This window comes from Homo sapiens, chromosome 6, assembly GCF_000001405.40.
Source record: "Homo sapiens chromosome 6, GRCh38.p14 Primary Assembly".
Classification (NCBI taxonomy): Eukaryota; Metazoa; Chordata; class Mammalia; order Primates; family Hominidae; genus Homo; species Homo sapiens.
Window position 1 is genome coordinate 35,023,257 of NC_000006.12, and position 26,594 is coordinate 35,049,850.

General features: G+C 43.8%; 1 protein-coding gene and 1 pseudogene across 12 annotated transcripts in view, besides 4 other annotated features; both read left to right on the forward strand.

The window, feature by feature from the left end:
• ANKS1A (ankyrin repeat and sterile alpha motif domain containing 1A) overlaps window positions 1-26,594 on the forward strand; it is a 208,736-nt gene that overhangs the window by 134,002 nt on the left and 48,140 nt on the right. The window lies entirely within an intron of this gene.
• On the forward strand, window positions 259-774 carry HSPE1P11 (heat shock protein family E (Hsp10) member 1 pseudogene 11; annotated as a pseudogene).
• Window positions 1,486-1,635: an enhancer, noted in NCBI's record as "active region_24394". NCBI's record gives its function as "activates an Ori minimal core promoter by ATAC-STARR-seq in GM12878 lymphoblastoid cells {active_cell/tissue: GM12878}" and the evidence as "EXISTENCE:reporter gene assay evidence [ECO:0000049][PMID:35858748]".
• Window positions 21,238-21,889: an enhancer, noted in NCBI's record as "OCT4-NANOG-H3K27ac-H3K4me1 hESC enhancer chr6:35012271-35012922 (GRCh37/hg19 assembly coordinates)". NCBI's record gives its function as "activates a minimal SCP1, AML or CMV promoter by ChIP-STARR-seq in naive H9 embryonic stem cells {active_cell/tissue: H9 hESC(naive)}" and the evidence as "EXISTENCE:reporter gene assay evidence [ECO:0000049][PMID:30033119]".
• Window positions 24,519-25,367: an enhancer, noted in NCBI's record as "H3K27ac-H3K4me1 hESC enhancer chr6:35015552-35016400 (GRCh37/hg19 assembly coordinates)". NCBI's record gives its function as "activates a minimal SCP1, AML or CMV promoter by ChIP-STARR-seq in primed H9 embryonic stem cells {active_cell/tissue: H9 hESC(primed)}" and the evidence as "EXISTENCE:reporter gene assay evidence [ECO:0000049][PMID:30033119]".
• Window positions 25,368-26,214: an enhancer, noted in NCBI's record as "H3K27ac-H3K4me1 hESC enhancer chr6:35016401-35017247 (GRCh37/hg19 assembly coordinates)". NCBI's record gives its function as "activates a minimal SCP1, AML or CMV promoter by ChIP-STARR-seq in primed H9 embryonic stem cells {active_cell/tissue: H9 hESC(primed)}" and the evidence as "EXISTENCE:reporter gene assay evidence [ECO:0000049][PMID:30033119]".

Below are 26,594 nucleotides of genomic sequence, written 5' to 3' on the forward strand. Positions count from 1 at the left end.
TTACTAAGTTCCTTCAGGTGCACAATTTGTGCCGTCTTTTCCTGCAGGGACCCTGAGTGATACAGCAGTTTTTGGCACTGTTTCTATCAACTCTGAGCAAGCATAGATGGCTGTATGCTGGAGCAGTAAACATGACTCTAGCATGTAAATTGTAAATTAATCTTCATTTGCAAATGAACTGAAAGGCTTAGATATTCAGGGTGCTGGGAAGCAGGAGAAATTCATCATTTAACTGGAAGCACCAGAGCTGTGGCAGTAGAGTCATGGCGGGACCAGCATTTAGAAAGTTTCTTTCACTCTTTGACTGAATATTGGTTGAAAGGAGTGCAGCTGAAACTGTAACCAAAGGAGGCATTATGCCTCCAGGAAAATCTCAGGGAGAAGTATCACAAGCAGCAGTGGTAGCTGTTGGATCAGGCTCTAAAGGAAAGGGTAGAGAGATTCGACCAATTAGCGTGGAAGTTGGAGACAAATTTCTTCTCCCAGAATATAGAGGCACCAAAGTAGTTCTAGGTGACAGGATTATTTCTTATTTAGAGATGGTGACATTCTTGGAAAGAATGCAGACAGAAATAAATCACTATTGAAATGGCATCACGTGAAGCTGCTCCTTCCACTGAAGTCCTAAAATATTTCATAATATAATTTCCATGTCTTTCTTTATAATAAACTAAATTTCTAAATTTTATTTTAAACTTTCTTTATAATAAACTAATGATATATAAAGTAATGGCATCCAGTGTCTCTAAAACTTTGTTTTTCTGCACTGATATAGACATCTCCAAATAAAAATATGTAAATTTAACAAAATTAAAAATCCAAAACTTTAAGCCTTTCCCACTTCCTACTATAAGAAAGAAACCTGTTCTCCCTTCATCAAGCTGGCAGTGTCCTCAGCATCTCAGCTGTGTGTTCCTGCGGCAGAGTCTCCTTTTGGTATGTCTTTATCCTCTGTCTCTTGCACAGTGTGATGTACCCACAGCACACACACACAGCACCAATTAACATCTGAGATAAATACCTTGTAGGAATAACAAAAATGGCTTTCTGGTCATATTGTGGTTTGAATGGATAAAAAGTTTGTGATGACCAGATTAGCCTCTCACCTGCCTTTGAATGGGATTAAAGTTTATGAAAGAGAAAACCACAGAAGGCTGTTTGTCTACTTAGCATAAACATTGGAGTCATTTAAAACTTGGCTAAAGGCTTAAATGATAAATTTGTGTTTTGTAATCAGCTTTCATAAATATTAAATAAGTGGGAGATGGGTGAAGAGCAGGGACATGCTTTGTATGCATTTTGTATAAGATGAGAATAATTTCTGGCACAGGATTTTGGGAATGTCCTGGCTTTGTCTGAAATGGTAGCTGAGGAAACCCTTGGCTCTTGAATCCTTTTCCTGAGAAGTGAAGTGGCAGCAACTGGGAGGGCACCCTTTCAGGCCAAGTCCAGAAGTGGCCTCGCCACCTCGCCCTTTCCAGCTCTTTCTCATTAGAGGCATGATGTCATCAAGAGACAAGCTGATTGGTTCAACTCCATAGAGGCTTTGGCTGCTTTTAACCCTTGGGGGTTAGGTGTGCAAAAAGAAGAATGTAAAATAAGGAGATTTGCATTTCCACTGATGATGACTAAATTTCCCACGCCATATTCTGCAATGTGCATTGTTCCTCTTTATGTAAACAAGCATGCTGTGTAGTCTTTTGTGCTGAGCAAAGCCCTCCCGCCCTGAACAAGAATGTGACACTCCTACCTCTGGGGAAAGATTAGGACCTGGAGTGTCTATTTAAGTTGTTTCCAAGTATACAGAGTAGTCACAACTGTTATCCTAGATGAAACACCCTTTATATTTCCATTGGCTTTAGGTGGTCTGGTAATATTGAGGTAATTTGTTCATATTTTTAAAATAATCTCATTTATTTTATAGGCAGCCCTAAATAAACAGTTTTGGCCTTTCTATCAAAGTGATTTTTGTTAGCCTAGATTATATATGTGTATACACACACACACACACACACGCATATATGTATGCGATGTGTGTGTGTGTGTGTATTTATGTATGTTTATATGCATTTCCATGGCCTTGATGCTAACAGGAGAAACTCCACGGTGTTGTGAATGAGCGGGAGTTAGTCCTGGCTCTGCAATTGACTGGTGATGAGAAAACTGGTGTGTTCAGCACCTCTCTCTCCCGCTTGCTGGTCCCTTGCTGCCATCACGTCTCTAACTGGACAGGTGCTGGAAAGCGGGGTTGGGGGAGTGGGGGAATGCACCCTCCCTGCTGCTGCCACTTCACTTCCCACCGATGCATTTCCCCATTGCTGCTGTCCCTATCTGTTACTCATCTGTTTCCCTCTTTCTTTTTGCCTTTGCTCTTTCTCCCCTTTTCTTCTATGCTTTTTTGTCTTTTTTTCTTCCTCCCTACTTTTCTCATTCATTTTTCCTTTTCATTCTTATTTTTACAGGTGGAGTTAAGGATAGGCTTCTCTTCTAGCCTCTCAGCCCTCTGTACCAGAGGGATTTTGCTTTTATTTTTTCTTTTTAACATTTTTTCCAGGGTTGACCCACATTTCTATTCTGCACCAGCATTTCTGCCACTCGTGGTATCCGCAGGCCACCACACCCACCGCCAGCCCCAGTCCCCCACTAAACAGCCTGGTTCCCTTTAGCTGCAGCAAGAGGGCACCATCAAGCACCAGGGAGGGAGCTGGGGTATTTGCAAAATCACCAGCAAAAGGAGAATTTTCCTTTTCTCCCTTTTTTGTTATGTTACAAACTGAAAGCTTGGGTGACAATGAATGTAGGTGACTATAGATGAGAGGAATTTGACCTTTATTCCAGTCCATACAAATGCTGAGAATCAGAGAAGGAAACATTTTCTGGGATATTCTTTTTATACTTTGGTTCTGGTTTTGTATCTTGTTTTTCTAGTAAAGTATCAGTAGGATACAGAGTGCGTGATTTTGTATGACTTTGGGAATAATAGTTCATTTTATATTATTCTAAGCAATTGTGTCTAAGAACAAGTAGAGGTATTTTACATAATCAGTAATAGTATAAAATTGAAGTATATTTGTATTACAGTTACACGTTCAGCTAATTTGTTGAGCACCTGCTCTGTTCCAGGTAGGCTGTAAGTGCTGGGGATACAGCAATGAACAAAACAGACAAATCCTCTTGCCCTCATGGAGCTGGCTTTCTAGAAAGCTAGAGGGGAATGAGAATTTAAAAAGAATGAATAGGTAAAAATCGTAGTATGTAGTTGATGATGGGAGTGGTTATGAGAACAATACAGCCAAGAACAGGATTAGAGGGTGCGGTGGGAGGATTGCTGCCGTTAGGTGAGTCAGCCAAGGAAGGCCCCTTTGAGGAGGACGTGAAGGAGCAAGCTGTGCATGCTTGGGGTGGGGAGGGAGAAGCATGAGTGGTTATTGGGCTACTTTCTCTTAATTAATTTCTCCTGTAAGAGAAATTTAAAATCCTACCCTACACTTAATATTGTCTTACAAATATACCTTATAACTTGACTTTTACTTTTAACTTCCTTTTTCTTTAGTCATGATTGCTACCTGTTGCCTTTCTCATCTTGGTTTTTTTCCTTGATTTCTTTATTTTAAGCTGTTGGGTGCATGCTTTTAAACATGCACATACCCACATTTTTAAAAAGCTATTGAACTAGAATGAAATCATAATTTCTCAAACTTGATCATTGTTCTTGTTGTCATCCTAGGCAAGGATGTTGGGTGAGTTCTGGCAGAGGGGCTGGGTTATAGGTCATTGTCTTAGGAAATGCCTTTCCATAAGCTCATTGCATACTCAAGGCAGAAATAAAATCTGAAAACCAGGATCACGAAGCAAAGGGAAGAGAATTCAAAATTACTAAGACCAGAAGATGGCCAGAAATCTCAGAAATGGGAGATCCAGTGAGGGAGGCCAACTGATTGGGTGTTCATGGAGGCAGGGAAGGTGAGTTGAGGGTATGCCACCACCACTTGGAACACAGAAATGGTGCTGATGTCCTAAAAGAGCACTCACCACAAATAATTTGCCCTGATGAATCTTAAATACATCCTCTCAGGAGCCAGGCCCATAGGTAATTACAACCAGTAAGAGAGGGAGATGCTGGTGGCCTCAGACATTCTCTGATCCTGGGTGGACTTAGGGGACATCAGGGTAGAGGGAGCTTCTTAGAGACCAGATATGAAGGTGGTCTGTGTGTATGCATGCACGCATGTGTGTGTATATATCCCAGAGAAGTTTAATTTGTTTAGAGATATGCTGTGTGGTCAGAGTGGCAGCCAGATGGTGGGGGATAGGCTTTTTATTATGTAAGACTCTGAGAAAACAATTAATCTGGACCTCATTTGCACTTCCTTTGAAATGTGTGACCCTCAGAAACAACACAGGGTCTTTTCCTGACCCCAGTGTTATGCCAGCATCCTCAAAGATGTGCTCTCTGATCTCAGCTCTGTGAGATGAGATCAGATCATGGACGACTACCCTCCCTGCCTAGGGCTCCTTTATCCTGCTTTCTTCTCCATAGATGTTCCCTTTTGATGCTACCAGGTGAGTAGCCAGTGGGTAAGAAGAATGTCTGTGGCCTGTAGCTGCTGGGCAGGGCCAAGATGCTGAGCGAATCTTTCCCAGGTATCCTACTCTTGCTCACAAGCTCTAATGACCCAGTCTCTGGCGCCACAGGGCCCACCTGTCCATAACTCAAGGCAGCCTGTTTTATTTGCCTGGACAGGTGGAAAACTGCCTAAGCTCACTAGGTGCCTACAAATGACAATTTATCTGGCAGTCTGTTCTTGGCTGTCCTGATTTAAACAGGCAAGAAGCCATTGTAAACTCAGCTGAAATGTTGTGGTTTGTGTAAATGTTCTGGTTCCTTTCCTTTCCACTTTGGATCTAGTTATTTTCAACAGAACTTCCCCCAAAAGCATGGAAGAGCCTTATATCCATTATGCAGTGGGCATACAGTCCTGGTTTTGCAGCTTGGGCCCTCTGTACTGGGCCAAAGGACAGTGAAGAGTGCCGTGGAACTTGGGTGCAGTGGCAGAGGACTGGCATCCCATCTTCACACTGTACTTCAAGGGTGGAGATCTCCCAGCCTCAAGGTCATAGGCTGTTTCTGTGTCCTTGGAGGGAATATATAGCTTAACCTCCATATCTAACTGTATGTAGAAATCTAGGCAAAGCTAACCCTAGAAATGGAATGTTTATACCTTAGGGATTTTGTATTTTTAAAATTATAATACCTGAATCTAGGTGAAATTTTAAAGGTACCAAAGACTATATAGTGAAAAATAAGTCTTCCAGATTTTCAGTTCTTCTCCCTGGTGTTTTGAATATCCTTCCAGAAATATTCTCTGCATGTAGAAGCATTTCTGACATGTTAAGCATTTTTCTTTTTAAAAGACAAAATGGTGCTGTCTCATGTGTACTGCTCTGAACCTTGCTTTTTTCATGTAATAGTAATTTTTTGAAAATCATTCTAATTGAGTACATGAAGTTTTCTTTTTTATTGTTCATAATATTCCATGGTGTGCATATACTATCATTTATTTTTGTTTCTTGTAGGTGGACATTCTACATGTTACCAAGCTTTTACTGATTAAAGCATTGCTGCAATGCAAATCCTTGTACAGAGTCATTGTAAGATGTTTCTAGAAACTGAACAGCTGTGTGAAAGAGTTTGTGCGTGTTAAATTTACTTTCCTACCCACAACATGTAAACACCTTATCAACATGAGGGTGGTCAGCCTTTTAGTCTCTTTTTGGTTAACAGATTGGTAATGTTATCTTATCTTGGGTTAGTTTTAAAGTGTGTTTCTTATTATGAGTGACATTGGCATCTCTTTATATGTTTACAAAACACTACTTTCTATATTCCTTTTCTCTTTTTTTTTTAAACGTTGTTATTGAATTGATCTCTTTGTTACTAATTTGTAGAAGCTCTTTGTATTTGAGAAAAATTAGCCCTTTATCTATGATATGATTTGTCTTTTGGCCTTGTGGTATTTTTATGTTTTTTTTAACATGTGGAAATTTAGAATTTTTATGTAGTTGAATCTATCAATCTTGAATGACTTCTGCTTTTTTTTTTTTTTTTTTTGAGACAGTCTTGCTCTGTCACCCCGGCTGGAGTGCAGTGGCACAAACTTGGTTCACTGCAACCTCCATCTCCTGGGTTCAAGCTGTTCTCCTGCCTCAGCCTCCTGAGTAGCTGGGATTACAGGCACCTGCCACCACGCCCAGCTAATCTTTGTATTTTTAGTAGAGACGAGGTTTCACCATATTAGGCCAGGCTGGTCTGGAACTCCTGACCTCAGGTGATCCACCCACCTGGGCCTCCCAAATTGCTGGGATTACAGGCGTGAGCCACGGCGCCCAGTCGACTTCTGCATTTTGTATCCCAGTTAAGAAGACTTTCCTTACTCTAAGATTACAAATATATGTATATTATTTGTATATATACATTATATATATTATTACATATACATATATAATTACATATATAATATATACTTATATGTAATATACAAATATATATTATTTGATTACAAATCTATTTTTTATATATATATAGTTACATATTCTATATATATACACACACACAAACACATAATTTCCTCCTGATATTTTATGGTTTCATTTTTCAGGTATAAATCTTTGTTTCTTCGGAATTCATTTTGCTATGAGGAGTGCTAGACATCCTGTTGATTTTTAGCAACAATTTGATCTAGCCCACTATTTGATTCACTTTTCCTGGTGATGAAACTAAAGCTTTGAGAGCTGAAATGACTTGCCTACGGTCTTAGGGTTGATAAATGTGGGAAACCAGTTGGAACTACATCTTCTAAGGATTGTATTTAGAATATAGGTGAGCTAAACCTTTATTTCAGCATTAATTAGCAGTTACTTTTCATTTCCTCTTGTTTCAACCCAAATTATTGCAGCTTTATCTTACTTTTTCCCTCTAACTGCAGACAAAAATATTGGTCTTTGTGTATGAAGGAAAGCAACTTACGAAAGGAGTCTCCTGGGAGAAGCATGTGTTTCCTTTTTTACCGTAATATTAAGACTCAAAGCATTTCTTCCCTTTACTGCTCTCTAAGATGGGGGGCTGTTAGGTTTTTCTTTTGTGACTTGAAAAGTGAGGTGATGATTTCTGGCAAATTCTAAAATTTGGAATTTGGAAGGAATCCTAGTTACCATGTAGTCCAGCTCCCTTATGAACAAAGTCACTTCTGTGTTGTCTAAAAGTGACCTTCTTTACTACCGTACTTGACTGGTTTAAAAATAATAATAGTAACTAACTAAATAAATAAAAATGATCTTCCAACTTTTGCTTGTAAACCACAAGTAACCCCCTCTACCATCCACCGTTACGTCTATGAAATAATGAAAAATCCTTTCTCATATCCAGCTAAAATCTGTGACTTCCACCCCATCAATTCTGGTTTTACCTTCTTGGTAGGTCATGCATGCAGTCCTCCATAATAGTTGTTCAGATATTTGAAGCTGCAATTATGTCCTCCCACCCTCAAACCTTCTCGTTTCCTTGCCAGGCAGGCACGCCAGTTTCTTCTCTCTCACCTCAGATGGCTTATTTTCAAACTGCTTTTGTCCCGGCCCTTCGGTGAACATCCTCTTGAAATCGTATGACATTGTTACAGATGCTTGTACATAATGTACATTGCATGGTACACTATGATGAGATTTACATGTTGCAGGCCACCTGATAATGCTTCATCAAGGGGTTTGATGCGCATCTTAGTCTCCTGAAAACTTAAGGGTTCAATCTGTCCGTGAGCCCAAGTCAAAGACAGTGTGCACAATGCTTCCAGAGGTACCACACCTCCATCAGGAGGCCATACAGAAAGCGGTTCTGTGGAGTGGAGGTGTTTGTTGCCTTTTAAAGCTTTATCCTGTGATTTCTGCCCTGGAGATACAGCTCAGCCTCTTCCCTGTTGTGCTCTTTTGGCAAAATCAATGTAGCTTTTCCCCATGTCCCATCACATAACAGTGACTCTACCTACTCTCCACCTAACAGCGTAATCGCCTGCTCTGGGCCCATGAGACTTGCTCAAGCATTTTTTAGCAGCTACATGACTCACTATGACCTTAATTTGCAGGTAAAGATGCTTTTGTACCAATTTTTCATTTGAAATCAATAGGACAGATAAGGCCTGAGAAAGCCTATGTTGTCTAAATGACCCTGAGCCAGGCCTTGTAAAGGGTCACTCAAGTCCCCTTGTGCTCTTGACCAGAACCCTTCCTCCTCCTCCCCATTTTGTGCCAGTCGCCAGGGTTTCCTTCCAAAATCTCTCTCCTCCATTCAGACTCACGTATCTGGGATCCTCAGCGGCCACCACCTCAGTATCTCCCTGCTTGCCTTTGGGCTTCTCTAGCTCATCTTACTTGTGGCTGCCTTACCATGTTCCTCAAATATTTTGTGTTATCCTCCCTTGACTAAAAACATCCTTGCTTCCCTATTGCTATGGTTCAGAGTCCAGACTCCTTAGCCTGGAGTGCATGATTCACCAGAGAATGAGCCCATGGCCCAGCCTCTATAACTGGCCTTCTCTTTCATCTCATACCCTATTTTTCCAGCTCAGTTAATTCCTATACTCACTGTTTTCCCCTACACGTTGGTTTATACTATTCTCCCTACTTGGGTGGCTTTCTCCATTTCTTTTTGTTGAAATTCCACTGTTCATTAGAGGCTTAGTCACTCATTCACCACACTGATGGAGAGCCTACTGTGTGCTTAGGCTGGGCATACAGAAATGAAATTGTAAACAAACATGCAGCTTTTGAGGGACTTAGACCCTAAAGGGAGAGATAGATATTAAGCAAGTACAAATAAAAATATTACCACAAATGAAAATAAGTGCTCTTGAAGAAAAGGAGCAGAGTGCTGGGCAAGGTGTGGGAGGTGAGGTGAGGCCCCATTAGATGGACTGGCCATGAGGCCTCTCTGCAGTCAGGCTTAGGGAGGCTGAAGGAGCTCAGTAGCCCAGTAAACAGTGTTGGGGCTCAGGAGAGGATGAGGTCAAGTCTCTGTCTGCCATAAAACCTGCCCCCTTGCACTTTGAGCTTGACAGGTCTTTCCATCAGCAGCTCTTTCCGCAGGCACTACATGCTTTGCTGCTCTTGTTTGTGTGTGTGGCCCTTCTCCCCAGTCAGATGAGAGACCTTTCCAGAGTAGTAATCACAGTTCATTTTTACAAGCCCTGCGGCTCCCCAGCCCCAAACGGGTGCATAGAAAAAATGCAAGTCCTTGATTAAGGGCCTCAGAAAGATGTGGGATGTCCTGAGTCCTTAAAATGTCATGTTTTCCCCCAAAGAACTCAAGGTGTGGATTGCTAAAGACTTGCTGCGCTTGGGCATAGATAGGTATCTGTTTTTCTTCTTCTTGAGGGAGATATAATAATTAAGCCCTTCTCCTTCACCTCACCCTTAAATTTGGAATTTTCTTTTCTTTTTCTTTCTCTAATAATAAGGTAGAGCCCTTTTTTATGCCACAACTGAGAGATTCTAAAGCATATTCAGAATAATTTGCTTCATAGATGTGAGCACAGAAATTTACAGATTTTGGGAGATGTATACTGAATGTCTTATGACTTTCTCACTTAATAAATTAATCCTCCCTCACCCATTTTTTAAAGGTAAAAATATTTCACTAAAACAAGCTGGTTCGGAAAGGGGGAGATGAATTTGGCATTTAAATGTCAAATATGTTTTAAGCTAACTTCATTCACTGCCCGTTCCTGCCTCCATATATAGTTAACATTTATAAAGAATGCAAATAGAATCCCCCTTGATAATGTCACATTGGTGTTAACAGTCTTTCTGCTTCTAAGTATCATATACGTAAGTCAAGAACAGAAATAGTTTGGACAGTTCTTGGCCCCTATTATTCCAAATTAGATTGAAAGAAGAAAAGAACCAAACCAGATATGGTATATTTCTGTTAAAATATCAGCTCCTGCTCAGGTAGCTCCATATGTTCCCACAGGTCTCCAGAAGGACTTGCTGCAGCAGAGCAAAGCAGAACTAAGCAAATCCTCAGCTGGGTTCATGTGCTTACAGCCATTACGGGCTTTACAGGCACTTAATAGAGCAGAGAGTTCACATCTCAGACATGTATGATGCTGGTGGAATTCATTTGGTTAAAGAAAAATTTTTCCAAGGCCCATTTTTTAAGAATCAAAAATATTACTGCTGATCCCCAAATAAGGTCTTTGATGAGTCTCTCCTGTTGGGGTATTAACCTAGGGGTCTGGCCATGCTCCAGTTCAGATAACGCTGTTTCTCTGTACTAAATTCTTCCTGAAGGTTCAATTAGATTTTGGCCTTCTTTCATCTTGGGCAACAACTCAAGAACTGCCCATTTCTAAGGCAGGAGCTTAGTGATGGATGCATTTGTTTCACCGCTGACAAAGATTCCAATGTAAAATCTGCCAGGCCCTTGAGGATGGAAACAGAGATTGATCTCAATGAAGAACGAGTCTATTGGTCCTCATGCAGAGATGCATTAACGTCTCTCTGTGCTCTGGAAGGGGTTCACTTCCCCAGGTGGACCTGAGCAGGCTGGATGTTGCAGCCTGTTCAGCGGCAGGATCGGGCCCTGTTCCTGGAAGAGAGCTCCACTAAGGTACTTGTTAGAAGTCATCAGTGGTGTTAACACTCAGGTTCCTTTGGTCGGTGGTTCCACAAAGCAACATTTACTCAGCACCTACTATTGCCAGGCTTTCAACTGCTCTATGTGGCATTATGAGAACATAATGTTGCAGGTTTAGGTTTGCTGTGCCCTTTTTACCAGGGGTGTGTCTGTGTGTCTGCTGATGAATTTCTTAGAGGTATATTAGTTTGCTACCTTGGTACCTTTTGCCACTTAGTTTTGCTTTCTCCTTTTCAAGGAACAGCATATGTGTGTTTGTTTCATTGTAGTGATCCACTGCAAATTGTGTATAAGCTTTTGTGGGTGGTTTTCTATTTTGACATCACCGTAAGTGTTTTGGTTCTTTTTCTTGAATGTTTGTTCTCTGTCTGGAGTCAAACCCGAGACAGACTTGGAAAGTGAATAGTGTGGGATCAGCTATCCCACAGTCACTAGCCCCAGCCTTGTTTTTCAGGGACACCCTAAGTGGCATTGGGGAAGGCAAGTGGACCTGCAGGGCACTCATTGACGTTAGTCAGAGCATCTGAAACAAGAAATTACAAGATTCCTGGGTCTAGACCTGGCTTGTGGGAAGTTCTGTCTGCATCTGGGGAGCACCATGTACCCTTGTCAAATTTGTGGCTGTGCCTTTTAGTTTAGTTTAGACAGTGCCTCTCACTTACATTAATTAAAAGATATTTTTAAGCCTTTGTAGTCTTGGTATTACTCAGGCCGGTATCATTGCATCATTTGCTAAATTTTATGTAATAAGGTAATTGTGTCTACATTTCTTCACTGTTGTGCTAGAAAAGGAAATAAAACATCATAAATCTGAAGTGAGCTTGGTCAGAGGCAGTCAGATCTACAAAAGTGAGGCCGAAGAGAGGAAGCCTGAGCCGAGTGATGATTGATCCCTGTGACATCACAGAAGGACAAATGGGCTAAGGACAGACTTGATCACGAATCCTGGCATCCTGAGCCAAAACCCAGATGCAAAAACTTAAAGGGGATATTTTACAAAAAGTGAGGGAAACAGCTCACTTGACACTGGTGGCGATAGCCTGTGGGACTCATTACCCGCGAGTAAGTGGCAAATGTTGGCTTGGGAACGGCCTCGCCCTGAGTAACAGGAAGAAAGGCGTTGGCTGGCCTCCCTGGAGCCCTCTTCTCAGCTGCACTGCCAGTGGCTGAGCAGGCTGGCCGGACCGTGCACTTTACTTTATCAGCAGGTATTTACTAGGTGCCAATTATGTGTCAAGCTTGGTGCTAGGTGCTGGGTGCAGGGGGTAGAGTTAAAGGACACAATTCCTTCTCTTAGGAAGTTTCCTTGAAGGAAGTTGAGTGGCTCCTGAATTCTATCTAAAGAGGGCTTAAGAGCAGCCATCTGGTTGAAGTAGGGGCTGGGGGCTCATCTGAATGGTGTGCTTCACTGTTTGGCTTTGTTTTACCTGTTTTATGTCTTAGATCAACAAAAAGAATTTTCTAAAATACACTTCTATTTATATCTTAAATAAGAATAAGAAAACATTAGTTGTTTATATGTAAAAGCATTTTATTTTTATTGGTGTTGGCTTGGCAGGAGGCTATTGAGCTTATAGGTGGGTAAATGTGCCCCACCCCCTGGGTACCCCTCTTGACATGGCCATTGCTGGCCTCTGTTTCCACCCTCATGTCACATTGACACATGGGTCTTAGGGTAGATGTTTGTTTTGAGTTCTACCTCAAGGCTGGCTGCAAACTGCTCAGAGGTTGCCAACCTGGGCGAGTCGGGAATCAGCCTCACTTCTCAGTTCCACAGTTGATTTACTAGTCATCCCTGGATATCAGTTTGTCTTTCTGTTAAACAGAATAAAACAAGAGCGTTTCCTGCCGGTTTCCTGTGGAGTGTGGCAGGCCAGTGCTTGTTGGCTTCATTCAGAAACCAGGCCTTTTGGAAATACAGAGCCATGTCCTCAGTGACTGCCCTTCACAGGTGGCTGCCCCACCTCTCTCCGCTTGCCTCCTGCTTTACATTCAGAGCAGGAAAGCTGTTAGCACAAGGTTCATTTAAAACCCCAGTTGAGGAGGTTATCATAGCATCCTTAATTCTAGTGAATGGCTCTAGTTTTCCCTTCAGCAGTTGGAGTGATTAAATGTCATAATATATCAGGGGAGTACCAATTATGAACATGGATTTCATGCTGGGTGCTTTTACATTCTTTGATTGGTGTTGGGCATAGTACTAACTTACCTTGGCAGCACCTTTAATTGTGGCATTCATGAATTGAATTGGACTCTGAGCAGCTGGAAGGGTCTGGGGCTGAGGACTGCTGCCAGGGCTTCACCTGCCCTGTCACAGTTGGCCTGATGGGGCATCTAGGATCTTACTCACGTTTGACTTCATGCTGCCCAGGCAACTAGGCAGAATATTTTTGCTTTGAGCTGAGATGCTGCGTTGGTTTTCATTGTAAAACATCAGAGTCAGAAGGTTCCCTAAGTGTGAGTTCTCTCATTACAGGTTAGGAAACTGAGCCCATTAAGGATGTGACCTACTCAGAGTCTCACGAGACCTTTGACAGCGCCCAAACCTCTGCTGCATAGCAACATCTTTGGCGCAGACTGGGTACTTGATACCCACTTGTTGAATAAATGAGCAAACCCAGGTCTCTCGAGATTTGTTTAACAGTTATGTTAACTTTTTTTTGGTTTAAACTGTCAACATACCAAATCTGGTTTTGGTTCAGTGACTGATCTAAAATATTAGAAGATTCTGCCAGTTTTCTAGAAACAGTACACAGACTGGTCAGCCTTCATGTTGCTAATGCTAAGTGGAAAGTTTAACCCTGTAGTTCCTTCTTTCTCTCATATGTGGTGCCTTACAGCAGTGGTTCTCAAAGGGCAATTGCAGACCAGCAGCATCACCCGTCCCTAGGAACTTTCTAGAAATGCAAATTCTTCCCTCCTCCCCCAGACCTTCTGAATTAGAAACTCTGGGGCTGGGCCCCGGTAATGTTTCTACAGGCTCCTCAGGTGGTTCTCAGGCACGCTGAGGTTTGAGAACCAAGGCTGAAGAGCCACGTCCTAACAGTGTTCCCTCTATTCGTGAACAGACTATGCATGTGAGCACACAGTTATGAACACGCAAGAACCAGGCATGGGATTACATAACACTAGCAATCAAATAAAATGTAATGCAAGTTTTATCTGACATATTTAATATATACATGGTAGTTCTCGTGCCATTGGTAATTAGGCAAATGAAAAGCAGGTCATATAAATGGCTATAATGAATATTACCTAGGCAAATCAAGTTTTTATAGTTTTTCCCTATTAGCTTTTTAGTATCTGCTAGCAGCCATTACTGTTGATGACTTCCCTAATTACACAGATGTACATTCTTCAGACACTCACAGAGATACACTCACTTACATTTGAAATTCTGGCTCAAATTTCCCAATTGTTAGGATTCCCTGTGACCACCTATCTCTGGCTGAGTTTTAAAATCTCAAAAGCAGGATTTAAATGCAAATAGCTTATTTGGGAGGTGATCCCAGGAAGCACTGGTAGGGGAGTGGGGGAGTGAGAAAGAAAGGAAACCAATAAAGGATTTGTTACCCAGCAGGTTACCCCTTGGGCCGTGGCCTGCTGGGGAACTCTGGGAGACTCAAATTTACTTTAGATCAAGGGAGCTGGGGTATTTATGTACCACTTCCAGTCAGTCTGGGTGAGGGCTACTCACCTAGTGGGAGTAGGGGCAGGACGTTAATTCCCTCTTGCTTTCAGTCTACCCAGTGTACAGGTCTAGAGGGCTCTGGCAGCCTAAGAGAATCCTCAGTCACAGGTGCTTGCAGTTGGAAACTGGCAGATGGGAGGGTTTAGAAATGACAAATGCCTACTGTCTGCTTTACCACCCATTAGTGGCACAGGAAGGGTTTTCCCTGGGGTCCTGGTTCTGGAGGGAACATGGGCAGGCAACTCAGGGGCTGAGAGCAGCTGCCAAGGATGGTGGTAAGAGAAGGGAGAGGGTACTGTGAAAATAGACTCTGGGTCTCAGAGTCTGGGCCAGGGAGAGGGCACGATGGAGTGAATGAAAAATCCTGGGGCACATAGATGGCTGGCGTCAGGTCTCTTTGTCTCTTGGGGAGGGGAAAAGGAAAGCAGAGGGTTCTGGGCACTGGTAAGAGTAGTAGAAGACAGAAGAGAAACTTAAATTTCTTGCCAGCCTGTGCCTTTCCTCTAACTCCAACCCGCACCCCCATCTTGTCCTACTGTTGTTTTCCATTTTCTCTAGGCTAAGAGAACTGTCAGAAGCCCATCAGTCTGGGAAGAAAGGGAGCTTCATGCCTGGCCTCCTTGTGGGTGGGTCCGCTGGCACATTGTTTGCATGCCACAGTGGTGAAGATGGGGAAACTGGAACTTTGCATTCTTACTGAGATAGTCCTCAATACAGTTTCGACCGGTCCACGATGAAAGGAGAATGAAAGGAGAGAGTTAAGGGCAGTGAAGAGTGCTGTGATAGTGCTGATGGTATTTGATTGCCAACCACCTTTATTCTGATTATGTTCATTCTTTCCCTTTTTTTAATTTTATTTTTTTTAGAGACAGGGCCCCACTCTGTTGCCCAGGCTGGAGTGCAATGGTGTGACAATAGCTCACTATAGCCTCAAACTCCTGGGCTGAAGTGATCCTTCTGCCTCAGCCTCCCCAGTAGGTAGGACTATAGGCGTGCGCCACCATGCGCGGCTGTTTTTGTTTTTGTTTTTTTGTAGAGACAGGGTCTCGCTGTATTGCCCAGGCTGGTCTTGAACTCCTGGACTCAAGAGGTCTTCCTGCCTCAGCCTCCCAAAGCACTGGGATTACAGGCATGAGCCATGGCACCTGGCCACTTTTCCTTTTTCTGTGCTTCAGTTGTTCTTTCTTTTATAAAACAAAGGGATAGTTTTCATGTTGATTGTTAAATGTTTGTCTTTATTAAATTTATTTTGAAATAATTATAGATTCACAGGAAGTTGTAGAAATAGTCCAGAGAGGTCCTTTTTTTTAGTACCCCTCACCTAGTTTCTGCCCATGGTAATATATTATTTAACTCTAATACAATACCAAAACCAGGCGATTGACCGTGGAAGAATCCACACATCCACACACCTTATTCACATTTCACCAGTTTTGCATGTATGTGTGTGTGTGTGTGGGGGGGGGTTATATGCATTTTTATCATGTGTAAGTTCATGTGATCACCACCACAATCAACATGCAGAACTATTCTGTCACCACAAAGATCTCCCTCATACTTTTTTTTTTTTTTTTTTTTTTTGAGATGGAGTTTCGCTCTTGTTGCCCAGGCTGGAGTGCAGTGGCATGATCTCGGCTCACTGCAACCTCCGCCTCCTGGGTTCAAGCGATTCTCCTGTCTCAGCCTCCTGAGTAGCTGGGTTACATGCATGCGCCACCACACCTGGCTGATTTTGTATTTTTAGTAGAGATGTGGTTTCTCCATGTTGGTCAGGCTGGTCTTGAACTCCCGACCTCAGGTGATCCGCCCACCTCAGCCTCCCAAAGTGCTGGGATTACAGGCGTGAGCCATCACGCCCAGTCCATCCTGTTAATTTTTAAAGTCATTTGCCTTGATAAAAAGTTGACAGCTTTATAACATTTCTGTTCCTCCCAGTTAGGAAGGAAAATGGCCCACACACTTACCAAATTAAGGGGCTACTGCCACGTGCGTCCCTGTTGAAGTGGGACAGCACAGTGCTCTGCACAGAAGCCATTCTCCTGAAAGAGGCAAGTGTGTGTTTCTGCCCAGGGCTGTAGAGAAGGAAGGGTGAGAAAGGTCATTTTTCCCAGGTCTTTTTCCTTCAGTGCTCAGCCCTCGAGAGGCCTAAGTCATGTATTAGGAAGCTCAGGCTTCTGTAACAAAATACCATAGATTGAGTGGCTTAAACAACAGATGTTTATTTCTCATAGTTCTAGAGGCTGGGAAGTCCAAGATCATGGTGCCAGCCAGCATGGCCCCTGACAAGGACCCTCTTCCTGGCTTAGAAACGGCTGCCTTCTCACTATATTCTCACATGGCAGAATATATGTATCTCCCTCTTCTATATAAACCCTACCCTCATGAATTCCTCTAACCCTAATTACCTCTCAAAGGCCCCATCTCCAGATACCTTCATAGTGGGGGTGAGGGCCTCAGCATATGAAATTTGAGGGAACAGAACTCAGGCCATAGAAGGTATCTTCATCAAGGGCTGCTCCATATTCTGCCACCTCCTCAGTTGCAAAATCAGTGGGGTATCTTGGCAGAGAGGCAACAAGAAAGGTTTAGGCCCTGTATTGCTAGCCTTGTTACCTTGGTTAAACTATTTAGCCCCTCCGAGCCTGAGTTTTCTCACCTGCAAAATTGAGAGATTCATGTGGATAATGTCTGAGGCCCTGCTTGCTGAATCTGCAGCTGCCTGCCTCCTGCGGCCCTCGTCTTCCTTTCCTCCATTTCCACTGACTTGGTGGTGAGAGCCCAAGGGCCAAGTTTGTTGATCCCTGTACCAGCTTTTCTCACTTATTCCCACTTCTGGGGGCAAAGGAAAAAAGAGGAGTTTGAGATTTTGAACTTCACAGTTTTGACCAGAGCCATCCTGTTTATTTTCAGCTATGTAGAAGCATATTTGAGATTCTGATGCTTGTGCCTGCCTACACACAGACACACATGGCCTGAGCACAAAAGTATTTGAGAAAAACAAGGCTCTTATTGATCATTTCCTTCAGTCTCAGACTCTCTCTACACCAGTTCACTTATTACTCAAGCATCTGATTCTACAAGAGGCAGAATTTTCGAAGATGAGATTCCTATGCCCTGGCTGACAGTGGAGCTTTGAAGCCCAGCCTGGGACCCTCTGGCCTTTAGCCAGGGACTCTTTGGGGTCCCAGTAAGCTTCCCCTTCACCCCTTTCTTCTCTCCCGTAGACCTCAGGGATTGGCCCACCTGTCCAGGTGTCTGCCTCCACTGTGTCTTCCCTCTTCCCTCGTATCCCAGAACTCTGGGGAAGGAATAATGTTTTCCAGTGTCTCCCCAGTTTTGCTGTGTTTGAAATAAGCACACAATCCCCTTTTAAGATTTTATTGCATGTTAAAACAAAAATGGGAAACTGAGAGGTTTGCGGAAAATAGCCAATAAATAGCCAACAATGGGGATGTTATAAAGTTATGAGAAATACTAAAAATAACAGTTGTCCTGGGTCTTGGTCAAACGTTAATAAACTAGCTCTTTCCTTGGCTCCTCTGACTGCCTTCTCTCTAGATATTGTCTTGAGGTTGTAGCTTCCACTCCTTTTCTGAAGAGCCCTACCTCCTAGCACATACACAAAGCCCCTAGAGAACAGTTGTTGGCAGCAATCAATGCTTACAAAACAGCTGAGACTGGTGGGCTGTGATCGCTCTGGAATCTTCTTGCAGGCTGAGATTGGAGATGGCCTTTGAATTGTGGGCAGCTCGGGGGTCTCCCACTGCAAAGGTCTCACAAAGTGTAGAGGATTGCATGACCATCTTTTCTGCCTTTCCTCTCCCTTCATGCCACTTTTCTTGATGTCTTTCCTGAGAAAATTTGTACACTCCATAATTGCAACTTGCAAGACTCACTTGCTAACAAACCCAAGGGTGTAAGTCCACAGGGCCTTTCCTGGAATAGGCACTCTTCACTGGCCTGTTTTGAAAAGGCTGTGTTCTTCCTAGTAATCCCATGGGGTTGTACACTTTAACCTGACACTTAGCCCCCAGCTGTTGCATGTTGCTGCCCATATAGGCAATGGATTTTCTCAGGAGTCCTCACACTACCAGCCCAACAAGAAGCCAGGGCTTGTTGCTCTCTGCCTGCCAGCACCACCCTTTCTTCAGATGCTGAGCTCTTCTGTGGCCTCCCATTTTCCTGCCAGCCAGAGGGAGGTGACCAGTCTGAACTTCGGTTCCAGAACCTATTGGGCTACTTTGAGGACATCAAGTTGTGTTCCTGTCCACTTGGCTGAGAAAAAAAGACAGAAACCTATATGATTTAGGAATACTGACATAGATGGTAGGTTAAAGAAAAGCCAGAGGATAATAACATTTAATTCAGGATGGTGGTGGCCTCAGAGGAGCAGAGAAATGGGGGGAAGTGATCCCAGGAAGGGCATTTTCTATTTCTTAAACCAGGTAGTAGGCATGTGAATGGGTCATTTATTATTGCTGTTGAAATCACAATACTATAAAATATGTTCTTTGGAATTTAAGAAACATTTCATTTTTTTAAAGAGGAAAGAACACAGTTCCTTGTTGTTGAGGTCAGCATGGGGCTGATGTAAGAGGATATCGACACAGGAACTTAGCAGTAAGGCAGTGAGGACGCAGTTGGAGGAATTTCAGGTGGGAAGATGCCACACATTTGCTGGGTTAGCCACCATGTCTCCCCCCTCTCATTTTCTCTTCAGGAAAAGTCTCAGATCCAAGAAAGATGTATGTCCTAAACAAATCCCTCCCTAAGAATCAGTTAAGGTGTAACCACTTTTAAAAGCTCTTTGTCTGTTTTTCCACTGGGTGTTGACTGAGCCCACCCAGTGCTTAGTACCTGGTAGGAGCACTAGTGAGAAATACAAAAGAAGCTGAAGAGGCGTGTCCATGTGTCTAAAGACCGGGAGCCATCCTCGGACCTTATGTATGTGTGAGCAGGTTTGCATCAGTGTGGTACAGCCAGGCTGCCTCTGCTGCAAGAATTCTAAAGCAGAAACCCTAGATGCAATCAGTCCACAAAGGGTGCCGGCAGGGCACCAGTGCTCATCAGTGCTTGTTATGTGCCAGCCACCCTCCCTGTGTCATCGCATCCTCCCCACACCGTCCTGCGAAGCAGGCATTAGCATCCCTGTTTACAGGTGAGGGTTACATAGGAAACTGAAAATAATTATCTTCCATGTATCTTTCCTTCCCATGGAGTGTTTCTAATGTATCCTCCATGGTTATATTTGGGGGACATAAGGTTGCCATTTCCATAATTAATTGTCTGTGATGGGGTTGTGGGTGGGGCAGGGCTCACATTGGTTCCTAGCTCAGACATTTTCTTTTGGATGACCTTGGATGCCCTTGAGCCTCAGAATATGTCTGCGAGACTTGGAGGATTCCCCCTGCTTTTGCCTTCGTGCCTTACAGTCTGTCAGGGTAGGTAGGAGGACTGTGTTGGGGAGAAGGGTCTTAGTTAACTGAGTGACCCTCTGTCTCTGTGTACTCAGCTTGAGAACTGGGTGGGCTAGGGGCAGTTTCTTTTCACCCCTTGCCACATGCAGATGAATAGAAGCTGGAAATTTGACTTGCGTGAGGTAACCTGAGTTGACAATGAGAGCCCATGACTTGCTAATGCCTGTGATCTGTAACCCAGAGATCATGGCCTGGCTAGTTGGCCCTGGACAGAGGCAGTGATAAATAATGTGTAAGGCATTGTTCAAACAGGAACCTTGATGAGGAAGAAAGAAGGGCTGAAAATTTCGGGAGTCACCTGGGGTGGTTTACCAGCCTGCAGGGGAGAGACTTCTAGGAAAACGCAGCCAGAGAGGGGTTCTGTGTCTCTGGGAGTTGACTTATTTGATGGTGAAGGTGGTTTGAGAGTTTCTGCAGTCATAGCGGCTATCTTGTTTATGAGGCACTGCTGCCAGTTCCTCCAGAGGCTTTCCACATGTGCCATTGTTCCAGTAGAAGCCTCTTACATGGCCACTTGGGATGAGGGTTGTTTAGTTTGGTTAATTACAAAACCAAAGGAGGAAGTCATTTTTTAAAAAGAATCAAACAATTTAACCCCAATGGATAGATGTGCACCCTTTTGATGTGGATCTGGGCCCTTTCTTCCAATGTAGATCTACTAATTTGGAGTTCTCTGCCTTCCTTTTATTACATGAACCACATCTATAAAACACCATTGACTAAAATTTCCAGTTTGTTTCTTAAAAGTAAAGCCAGAATTTGACCACTTGTGAAGCAATCTGAGTATAGATTTCTTTTGGAATTTTTTACAACTTACTTCCCTAACCACCCTTAATTCAAGAGCACATTTTAAAAAATGATCTCATTATTGAGTCTCTTCGAAGTACTTACTTGGTTGTCACAGAAAGGTTCTTTTACACTGGTTCCATAATTTATGTAATGTTTAATTAAATTTTCTATTTTCATCAACAAATATAACCATCCTAAGCAGTTTTGGAAATGACCCCAGCTGACTCTTGGTAAGGGTAACACTGAGTGTGTGGAAGCAGAAGACCATGGGTGTGCGGGAGCAAGCCTGCCCAGTGTGGACATAGCCGTCCGCTGGCATCACTTACTGAGGGACAGGGTGGCATGCAGTTAGCTCGCTGGCAGATCACTTAAGCGGAGGTCAATAACAGGTTTGCCAGGTAGGTGTCGTTATCCCTGTTACAGATGACCAAGCGGAGGTGTGGGAAGAACAAGTTCCTTGCTCACAGCCGCGTTGCTGAAAGCGGCAAAGCTGATTCCACAGTCTCAGGCATTTCACTACCTGCAGACTCTGCCCTGTGGGAGCCAGCTCTGTCTGAGGTGAGGGAGTAGAGGCAGGCCCACAGCCTGCATGAGAAGGAGCAGGCCTGAGTTGAGACCCTGTTCCCTCTCCTCACTTTGGTATTGTCTTGGATCCTCCGGTTTGCTTCGCGCCCCAAGAGCTGCCTTGTAGAAAGGCGTCACTCCCTCACATAAAACGTTTTGTCCTGAATGGAGAAGCTGCCTCCAGCTGAGTGTCCAGGAAGTGAGCTATTGTTCACACAACATGTTCTAAACGTTCTCTGCCAAAAGGAAGCCCTTTCCCTCTGGTGTATCTTTTAAAACAAAACAACAAAAAACAAAGGAACCTGGATTTTGATTAACTTGTTTTTTAGATAGAATTTTGTTTATTTTGGAACCAGATAAATGTGAATGGCAAGTACAAGCCCTGTCTAATCGCTGTAAACTGAAATGTGCAAGGGAGGAGGGTGGTGTGGACTATTTGCCTGGCATCTGTGGTTTTACGAGGACTACAGATGTTTCCCAGTGTAAGTAAGGCTGGCATCTGGTCAAGTTACAGAGGGAAACAGGCACAGTATCTCCTGCTATGGCCCTGGGAAATGGCAGGGACTAAAATCCCCCAGCAACAGAGGTAGACAGGCATTGCCTTTGGAGGAGGAACAGATCTCACCATCCATGCTTACAGCAGCAATAACCTTGCATTTTAGGATGATGTCACTCAGGGAATGAATGAATTACACCAAAACTGTGTCTTTTAGGCAATGCACAGCTTGCTCAGACTTGTGTCATAATAAATTAACTCCTCATTAGAGCCCTGCCTTGAAAGCAGGGCTGCACTCAGACCTCTTGTACATTGTCTCAGATCTTTACAGCAGGCCTCTGTTGATATGTGCATTTTGTGTTTGAGGAAACTGAATCTTAAGGAAGAGAAGTCAGGTCATTTGTCCATAGCAATGATCCCATGAGTGACGACTTTTTTTCACCTTATAGAAGAGGAAGTTGAAAGTCAACAAAGTTAAATGACTTGTCCAAGGTTCCACAACTAATTAGGTGGCAGAACCAGAACTTGAACTCAAGTTTTTAATTCATAAGTCCTTGTTCTTTCCACCCCTACACACTGCCTTTCCAATGTTCTCGATCCAGTACATTCGAAATCCTATGCTGAGCTTTCATAGAGTGAAAGCGAGGCTTGAAACAAGCTGGACACCATGAATTAGGTGGATAAGGAATTGAGCAGTGCCCACATATGGCTAGTGCTGTGATCCACGGACGTTATTTTGATTTTCTCATGTTTGCTTTTCTCTTCTTTAAAGTGGGAAGAATGCTAGCTCCCCACCAGGGTGCTTGTGAGGAGGGACTGGATCACCAGGAGGGCAGTCAGCTAGTGCCTAGTGCAGTGAGGACCCCACTGAAAGAACCCAGCCCAGGACCTAACACCCTGCAAGTCTTGAGTTTTCACATTGTTGAACAAAAGTGCTTTCAGGGTCGGTGGTCGACCTTGCTGTGAGCACATGAATTCTGTTTTCAGGAAAGATGAATGAGCCTTCAATGTAGTTCACATAGCTTTCACATACTCCAGAATTTTGAAGGTGTATTTGATTTTCTAATTTTATTTGATTTCAGGAGACAGAGGATACAAACATATTCTACTAGCTAAGTATTCTAATGTGCTGCTTATCATGCTAAAGGAACTCACAGATGTAGGGATCCATTTCTTTTGACCCTGATTAATATGAGCCAGTTTCCCAGGGTGTACTCATCCTGGGAACACTGATAATTGAGTTTTCAGACTGTCAAGTCTGGGGTTAGCCTGGGTTCCAGAATAGAGAAAGCCACACCACAACACAGAAGCTGTGCTGAGAGCCCTTCACCCAGAAGGCTTTGTGACAGGGAATAATGGTGCCATCGACTTTCCCACATTCCTTTCTCTTTGTTTCCTTCGCCTCTCGGGCATGTCTTTGCTTATTAGCATGTTGAACAGAGTTCATCACAAATGAAACTCAGACCAGTGTTAATCTTACAATTTATTATCCTCTAAAAGATCTGATCCTGAAAGATTTTTCCAGTATTTCAGTATGAGACTTTTCAAACTACAGAAAACTTGAAAGACTTGAGTAGTGAATCCCTGAATATCCACCACGTAGGGCATGGATTCTATAATTAGCATTTTGCTGTACGTGCTTTATTGCATCTATCCATCTGTCTACCCCTCAGTGCACTTAGCAATCATGTTATTTTTTGATGCATTTCAAAGTAAGTTGCAGACATCAGTACTCTCATCCCCAAACACTTTAACGTGTATATGATTAACTAGAGTTCGATGTTTGTTTATAGTTATTTGGGGGTAGGGGGGTAAAATTTATACAAAGTGAAATCCATTAAGTCTGTTATTCCATGAGTTTTGATAAATACGTACATTTGTCTAACCCAAATTCCTATCAAGATACTGAACATTACTGTCACTCCCAGAAAGTTCCCTAGTGCCTTCCTTAGCCAGCCAGTCCTCACCCAGCCTCTTCTGGTAGTTTTCCACTCTAAATTTTGCCTATTCTAGAACTTCATATAAATGGAATCACTGCAGCATGTGCTCTTTTGTATGTCTTATCTGAAAGGTTTTAACTAGTGCTTTAAACTGAAGTCTAGGGACTCTGTCAACTTCATTTATACACCTTCTTCCTGTTTCGCAAGTTCAGAGGTAATTAGGAGTGGTAAACTGCAGGAAATCTCAAGGCAGCTGATGGATCCTGATAGTGTATTTGTATTAAGTATGTATGTATGTATTTTTAAACCTTAAGTATATATAATTTGGTACTCAGAATCCTACATTTGACCACCCTGATATTATAAGACAGGTGTTCCCCTGTAGAATCTGAGGAGCTAAGACCCCTTTCCCTGGCCACACTGCTAAGGAAATTGATTCTGAGTAGAAGTTTAGGATGTTTTCTTTGGCCTGGTTTTATCCACAGCCAGACCAGCAGTGTGCTGTAATGACATTCAGATTGTGAAAGAACCAGACCGAGAGACAGTTACTTGGAGGCTGGTGGGGGTGCCCGAAGGACCAACTGGCAGATTAACCAGTGTTTTTAGGTAACTGCAGGCTTTCTGAGGTTTGTGTACTTCCTCCTCACCCCTCCCCACCATGCCTGGGTGAAAAGTAGATTGTGTACATTGAACTAGAACCCAAATACATAATCCTCATTAATCTTTTAGATTCTTGTCCCACTTATTGAAGCCAGTACTTGGCTTATAACCCAGAGTTATGTGGCAAGCAGTAATAAAGTTAATTGGAATCTAGGTCTCCCAACTTTTTTATTCTTTCAGCAGTTTCTTGGCGCTTTGAGTAAAAGATTACTTTTACATTAGGCTGTTCTGGTATGAGAAGGTCATTTGGCAAGTATTGGTTCCGTGTATTTCCTTCACGTCATGTCAAGTCAGGGCCATGTATTTCCTCCCGGTCATGTTCATGTCATGTCCATGTATTTCCTTTCTGTCAAGCTGCAGATGTGGGCCTAAGCCCTGACCTCTGAGTCAGGGAAAGGGCCAGCTGGTAGTTGCGGGGTGTGAGGTGCTTTTGGGGAGCAAGACCAAATATCAGCAACCCAAGAGGTATAGGAAAGACAAAAATGAGGGGGCAGGTGGGAGGTTAGAGCCTTAGACCACGCTCTGGAAGCCAGAGCTCCGTGGCTTTCCTCTCTCCACCAGCCTAGCCTGGTGCAAAGACAAAAGGCAGGCTTTAATTGGAGCCTTTGTCAGGGAAGACGGACAAAGCACTTTTGAAACAAAACAGCTCTGTTGTCTCTCAGCCTAGTAGGAAAAGGGGAGTTGAAAAAGAAGGTGACGATGTAAAGGGGATTGAAGTAGGGGGACACAGCAATTAACATGGTAACAACCCAAATGCCCCACGGTAAGACACAGCTGAAGTGGAGACTGAGCCCGCTCTGTGGAAAAGGGAGTTCCTCATTGTTAGCCGCCATGTCTGGTCGCCTCGGCAAGGACAGCCCTGAGCCCGCTGGCAGATAGTTACTCATTCCCTGCCATGCGCCTTTCCCCTCCCCCATCCCCTTCTGCCTCCCTCTCCTAAAAGCAGTTGACAAGGTTAGAAAATCAGGACAAATAATTTACTTCAATCCATCTTTGTTTTCCTGAGGCCATGCGCAATTCAGTCTGGGAGGAGAAGGAAAAAAAATCACCCAGACCCTGGCCAGTGACCCTTTTTCAGATGTGGAATCAAAGCCCACTCTAGGCTGAGAGGCGTCTGCTGCTAAGAGGCAGAAGACAGAGATGGTGATGAATTCTTATGTGGTTTCTGGGCCTGAGAGTGCAGCTGTCAGCAGTCTTTAGGGTTCTCTGCACAGCCTAAGGAACTGATTTTGACGTCAGCAGTCGCCTGATGGGATCGGCACAGAGCATCTGGTGAGGCTGAGGAGGCTGCGGCTCAGTCGCTCAGCCCCCGGCTCCTGGGAAGGGGGAGCACTGTCCAAGCAAGGCCATCGAGCCAGAGGAGAGGGTCTGCCACTTTGCCCCCGTGCAGCAGGAAGCAGGTTCGGCTGCCAGTGGCACCAGCGAAAGTGAGAGCACTGCCCTCTGTGGGCAGTTTGGGAGTGCCTGTGGAGGAGAGCTTCAGTTTCCTCACCTGAAAAGTAGGGTAATAAGTTTGCTTGGCTGTGAGTCGAGGCTCTGCAGGATTGCTCAGAGAAGGGATCAGCTGAAAGTTGTGGAGTGTGAGGTGCTTTGGGGGAGTGCCAACCTTGTGCCAGCAACTCAGAGAGTCAGAAAAACGTAAAAATGAGGAGGGAAAGGGAGTTAGAGAATTCATACTGGTCCAGAAGGGAGAGTGTTGGCTGCCTTCCCCCCTTCCCCTGTTAGTGTAAAAGTGACCAGTGTATTAGCGATAGCTAACAAACATTTGTCATCGAACACCACCAGTGTGCTAGCTGTGTACAAGGCATATGGTGGGATCTAAAGAAAACAGCGTGGCGCAGGGTCCTTACCCTGAATGGTTCTTTAGTGTCTCTGGGACACACCATAAAACAGTTAATCAGGGAAGTAATCCTGCAAAGCAGAAGGTGTTTCTGGGCCAATAAGGTCATCAGTGCCGAGTGGAAGAGGCGAGGTGGAAGGTGTCTCCCGCCCCGTGGCTCAGGCCTAAGGAGACTGATGTGTGTTTTCCAACTGGCAGGGGGTCCTAGGGCACCAACAGCTCCCAGGCAGCAGAAAGGGTGTTAGGAGGGAATGTCTGATGTCAGGAGCCAACTCAGTTATAGAAACTTCTCTCGTGCTCCCATTTACACCAAAGGAAAGTAAAAGGAAAGTGATTCCTTTCCCATCCTCCTCTACATGGGGCCCCAACGAAAGACATATTGACCAGACTGATTCCTGCTCTCCTGATATTTGGCCCCATGTCGTAGCCCTGCACACAGCCGTGACTTGT